At 54.9% G+C, this 6,000-nt stretch overlaps 2 annotated features.

The window, feature by feature from the left end:
* Positions 259-553: an enhancer, noted in NCBI's record as "tiled region #12870; HepG2 Activating DNase unmatched - State 10:DNaseD, and K562 Activating DNase matched - State 8:EnhW". NCBI's record gives its function as "activates a minimal TATA promoter and a strong SV40 promoter by Sharpr-MPRA in HepG2 and K562 cells {active_cell/tissue: HepG2 | K562}" and the evidence as "EXISTENCE:reporter gene assay evidence [ECO:0000049][PMID:27701403]".
* Positions 5,134-5,243: an enhancer, noted in NCBI's record as "active region_13301". NCBI's record gives its function as "activates an Ori minimal core promoter by ATAC-STARR-seq in GM12878 lymphoblastoid cells {active_cell/tissue: GM12878}" and the evidence as "EXISTENCE:reporter gene assay evidence [ECO:0000049][PMID:35858748]".

Below are 6,000 nucleotides of genomic sequence, written 5' to 3'. Positions count from 1 at the left end.
TACCTGAGTGTGGTGGCACGTGCCTGTAATCCCAGCTACTTGGGAGGCTGAGGCAGGAGAATTGCTTGAACCTGGGAGGTGGAGGTTGCAGTGAGCTGAGACCTCGCCATTGTACTCTAGCCTGGGCAACAAGAGCGAAACTCCGTCTCAAAATAAATAAATAAATAAATAAATAAATAAATAAATAAATAAATCACAGAGAACCCACCTTAAAATCTAACATACCCATCCTTCTTTTACAGATGGGGGAACTGAGGCCCAAAGAACACTTTCATGAGCACCTAGCTGGTTGGGGTGGAAGCAGGACTAGAATTCTCTGCCGACTCTCAATCCAGTGCCCTTTCCCTGAGAGCAGGGGCCTCCAGTTCCCTTCTGCCCAGCTCTGATGCTGGGACGTGTGGTGTGGCCTCGAGGCCGCATGACTCACCCTGACTCACTGTCTGATCTTGGCCCATTCTGATCCTCTGAGGCTCAGCCTTCCTCCCTGGAAAACTAGAATAAGTCCCATCCCCAACCCCAGCCAACCTCAGGGGCCCCTCAGGAGGACCCCAGGGACTAGCACAACTTTAATTCTAGGTCAGCAAAACATTTCTTATCTGGCAGGTCCCATACTTTTGAAAGTCACCGGGGATGAGAAAGCAGGCAAAGATGGTTTCTGAGCAGATCAATGGGTGGCTTCGAACCCCCATTCATGCAGGAAAGCTCATGCTTTTTGGTATGAAAATGCCCCTCAGGCCCTCACTCAGGGCCTATTTCCTCTTACTCGGCAAATAGTTTGGGTAAGTTTGGTGGTCTAGTTTCTCAGGCCACAACAGGTATACTGATAGTAGTAAGAAGAATTTTATGATGACAGAGAAGGGAGAACAATTGTAAAATGCAGATCCAGTAATTAAAAAAGCAAGGCAGACGGGGTCTACCTTGACAATCCTGAGGCTAACCCCGTGTTGCAGTCTAGTCTACTCATTAGCCTTGTCAGAAGGACCTGAGTCACCAAGGAAGTCAACACACGCTGACTTCTGAGAAATTTGGGATGTGGAGGATCCCCCGGGGAAAGATTGCTACCAAAAAATGAAAATAAAAAGTTTTGCTATTTAAAGAGGTAGATTACAGCTACAGAAAATGAAGGTCTGTGTCACGCCTCATTCTGCACCATGCCAGGCGCCCGCGATGGAGACAGCTGGCCTTGGCTGAACATCAGAGCCCGCAGAACCCTCTTTAGTTTTCCTCCCCCATGGAGGTGCCTCCCACCTGGCCAATTAACTGGTTTTCCTGCTGTTCCTCACCGTTCCTCTCCCCTTTAATCCATTCTGCATGCTGCAGGAAGATGTCTCCCTTAATTCTTCCTGTCTTCTTCTGATAAAGAGACTCTGACTTTGACCGTTGTCTGCCTGACCCCAGGCAGCACTTGTTTGCACACTGGCAGCCCACCCTGAGGCCGACCTCGTGTGCTGGGTCAGCTCCCCACCAGGAGACTGGGTCCCTACGCCACTGCCTCGCTGGGTGGCCCCCTCTCCAGGTATTAACGACTCCATCACCAGAAGGTGCAGCTGTGTGTGGTCAGCAGAACACCTCATTGTGGGCTTTTCTTTACATGCCGCCCTCTCCGCCGCCTGCCAGGTTCCCCACTGGGAACACAGGAAGGGACTGTGGCATTCACCTGGACAGCGACTGGCCTTAAATCTTCAATTAGAGTGGCAACACTCGGCTTGAGGGTAGGGCAGGTGTGTCTTCCTTCTGTATCTCCCAGGGCAGGGCTCAGCTCTGTCTTGCACCCAGCAGGTGTTCAGGGTCAGCTGATGGGTGCTTAGTGGGGCGTTTGGTGGGTGACTCTTTGGCTCATTTGTTAGTGCTTCACTGAGGATGGTGAGGCCAGCAACCTAAGTCTCAGCTTCAAAAGTGCTTAGAAGTTCAGCCAAACCCCACACCAACACCTGTCCACTGACCCCAGTCCCAGTGGGTCCTAGCGGGAGAGCAGATAGGCTTTACTGCACGCCCACTGCCCAAGAGAATCAGCAGCAGACAGACCCAGCAAGGCGGGCGAGTCTCGTGGTTAAGAGGGAAGAGAGCCGTAATTTGTGGAGGACTCAAAGCTCATGCACTGTTTCTCCAAACAGTCTAGCAAGATGGGATTGTGCATTCCCATTTTCAGCAGATGAACCGAGGCTCAAAGAAGCCGAGTGAGCTGCCTGGCCTCACTAAACCTCTTCCTACCTCTCTCTGTGGACGTATCTGATTCATCGCTGTGTGGGGGACACCGAGTGTGTGCGTCAGGGTCAGCAGCAGGGCCTTGGCAGCAGAGGGGACCCTGTGAGAATCCTGCCGTCTTTCTAGTGCTGTGACCTGGGCCATGTTGGCCTCTCTCAACCCCAGGCCAAGTCCTCCCCTGTGTAAGATGGAGAAGGTCCCACCTCGGGCGTGGCGTGAGGAGATGAGGGCGCTTAGGTGGGTGCCTGGTTCGAGGCGTGCCCGTGGTGTTAGCTGTACCTCTGTGACCTTGGGCGAGTCCCTTCCCTGTAAGGGCCGCAGGGTCTTCATCTGTAAAACGAGAGGGTGGCTTTAAAGTGCCTTCCACATCCTGGTATCCTGGAGTATTTGGAGGGGCCACTGGGGAAAAGCGATGGAGGAACTTCTGGGGAGGGGCAGCAGGTGCAATTGATGGAAGGAGGTGGCCCCGGCATCCCCACTGCTTCTATAGAACCCAGGAGGGTGAGGGGTCTGTGGGGTCGTGTTCTGACCCATGCCCTGCACCGTGAAGGGGAGATTCCTCCAACACCATGGCTGAGGGGGCCGCAGTGTTGCTGGAACTCATCAAGGGCATAGGGTGTGGGGCTTTGCTCCCTTAGGAAGCGGCCTCCTCCACCGTTGGGCAGTTCCGGTTTCCAGAACATCATCCTTGTGTGGACCCGGCATCTCCCCCAGATCTCTTCTGAGCCTCCGACCAGGCGCCTCAAGCTGAGGGCATCCCTTGACCAGGAATATTTTCCTCGGCTCAGTCTGTCCAGACCGTTCCCTCCCTAACTAAGGGATAGTCCAGAGTTCTGGAAGGAAGGGCCTTCGTGAGGGGAGGCCAGCTGTGCCTGCCCACTGAGGACCTTCAGCCCGTTCTCTGCCATTGCAGACCCCGTGCCGGCCCCACTCCCAGGGGCAGGCGAAGGCTTGGCCACTGAGACACCTGTGTTTCTGGCTCTAGGACGTGGCACCCTCACAGCTAGGCCTCCCAGCTCTCCCTGCACAGAGGCCACCCAGCCTGGGAGGCTTGCAAAGTGCAGCACAAATTCACACACCCCACATCACACACACCCACACACAGCACACACACATACACCACACGCATACCACACTAATTCTCCATTCTCACACCATGTACACACAACGCAACCCTCTCCAACCACACATACCCCGCTCCCTGCGTGCGTGCGTATATACCACATCCCCCACCCCCACACAACACACAACACAACCCTCTCCAACCACACATACCCCGCTCCCTGCACGTGTGCGTATATACCACATCCCGCACCCCACACAACACACAACGCAACCCTCTCCAACCACACATACCCCGCTCCCTGCATGTGTGCGTATATACCACATCCCGCACCCCACACAACACACAACGCAACCCTCTCCAACCACACATACCCCGCTCCCTGCACGTGTGCGTATATACCACATCCCCCACCCCCACACAACACACAACGCAACCCTCTCCAACCACACATACCCCACTCCCTGCATGTGTGCGTATATACTACATCCCGCACCCCACACAACACACAACGCAACCCTCTCCAACCACACATACCTCGCTCCCTGCGTGTGTGCGTATATACCACATCCCGCACCCCACACAACACACAACGCAACCCTCTCCAACCACACATACCCCGCTCCCTGCGTGTGTGCGTATATACCACATCCCGCACCCCCACACAACACAGTCACACTCCACACCCAGAGAGTCTCACATGCAGCGCCCAGGTTGTGTCCTACACAAGGGTGCCCAGCTGTGGGTCTGAGGCAGCTCCCAGGGTTCTGGGGCAGGGCTGGGCACCTGGAGGAAGGGCACCTCCTAACTGGCACGAAGGTGCCCTCCGCACTGGCTAAGACTCTGGCACCCATGACCACAGAGCACTCCCCACCCACCTCCAGGCCTCTCTAGACAGTGAGACATCAGGCCCCTGAGGACCCCCAGCCCTCCCCACTGGAAGGCCCTGCCCGTGCCCCACCCTGTATTCCTCCCTGGCCCTGAGTGCCCTGCCTCGAGTATGTGGCTCCAGGCACAGCTGGCTCTTCCCTCCCCAAGCCCCTCAGTCCCTTAGTACCTGGACCATTCCCTTCATCCCCCACATGCTTATGGGGCACCTGCTGGGGCCAGGCCCTGGCTTAGTGCTGGGGAGACAGAGGGGACGAAGTCACGCTCATCCTCAGCAGGCATCTGCCATCTACACACCAATGGCCATGCCCAGGGAGCAGGACTGTGGCAGAACATCCCTGGCAGCTGTGGGAGCCCCGAGGGGTGATCTGTAACCCTGACTAGGGAGCAGTCAGGGAGAGCTTCCTGAAAGAGGTGGCAGTAGACAGAGGCACGTGCTTTCTAACTTCTGTGACTCACTGCATGCTGAGCTCTGCCCCTTCTCACCAGAAAGGGAGGCCATGGTGTGGATCAGAGACAGCCCATCTGCAGACCTGTGATCAGGAACAGTGAACCTCTGTGTTGCAGTTCCTGAGATTTGGGGCTTGTTAGTCACACAGTGACATGGCAGTAGCTAGGCAACACGGACCCTGAGCCCCCTTTCCAATCTGGCGACACACCTCATGAGTTACAGTCCCTCCCCACCTGCTCAGCCTCAGCACTTCTCCTTTTCCTCTAAGCTGCACCCGGCTGAGCCTTGCCCTGGCTGAACAGGACTGCACTGATGACGCGCCTGGGCCATGAGCCTCCCTCCCACCCATTTTGTTTGCCTTTGAGATGCCTTTGTGTCGTATGTTCTGCTGGGTCAGCAGGAGATTCAAGAGCCCTGACCTGAGCTCCCTGCACATTTCTGGGAACTGGAGGTGATGGAGTGGGCCGGGTGCCTTGTGTCTGATGTGTAGGTGGCATGATGTCAGGAATGGGGCAGAAAAAGGCTTCCAGGCTCCCGAGACACATTGAGTCCCATTGAGCATAGATGGCTATTAGGGACTTGTCTCTAGCACAGGGAGAAGGAGGCTGTGGCCCCTCTGAGAGGCCTTCTTTCAGTTCAGCTCCTAAGGATGGTCTTCCGGAAGCTCTCTGCATGATCTTTCACTTACCCAAGAAACATCAACATTTGCCCCCGAATGACACAGAATCACACTGGTGGTTAGGCTGACACAGCGTTTACACGGATTTGAAACTCTGTAGGTGTGACTGCTGGCTGCAGAAACTCCACTGAGTGCTGAAACATTCTAAGCCACAAAAAGTAAGATTTTAGAGTGTGCAGAATTGCAAGGGTCTGTGTATGCATACAAGTGTTGTTAAAATTGGCTTCTCACCTGCTTTAATCACACTTTTGTTATTTGGGGGAAATGCTATAGAATAAGTCTCTTTTCACCTTGCTAGCCTGTCTTGGTTCCCACTGGAAGTTTTCTTCTTTTGGCCTAGGTGGGTATTTGGGTTTCACCTGATTTGTTCTGGGAAGGGAGGGGAATGGTGGTCCTTCCTCTCTGGGGCTGGAAAGTGAAGCTTCGTCAAGCCCTGAATGGTCCCCATTGGAAGGCCTGGGCCAGGTGTTGGCTCTCTGTAGCACAGCAGATGCCACAGGCAGGGACCCTGCACCAGGACCTACCCAGAGTTGGGCTAGGCCTATGAGAGGTTGTCTGTTGTCTGGAAATTCCAGCTCCCAGGAGACTGACCATGCCAAGGTGGTTAAGGCATTGTCTCCTTTGCTTATTTCCTTATAGCACCCCCAGCACAAGGTGGGACCCAAGTAGGGGTTCACTTGAAAGACGTGGGCACAGGTGATGAGACTAGGAGAC

The sequence above is a fragment of the Homo sapiens genome, chromosome 18 (genome assembly GCF_000001405.40).
Source record: "Homo sapiens chromosome 18, GRCh38.p14 Primary Assembly".
Lineage (NCBI taxonomy): Eukaryota > Metazoa > Chordata > Mammalia > Primates > Hominidae > Homo > Homo sapiens.
Note: the sequence above shows the minus strand (reverse complement) of the source record. Positions and strands in the feature narration are given on the sequence as shown.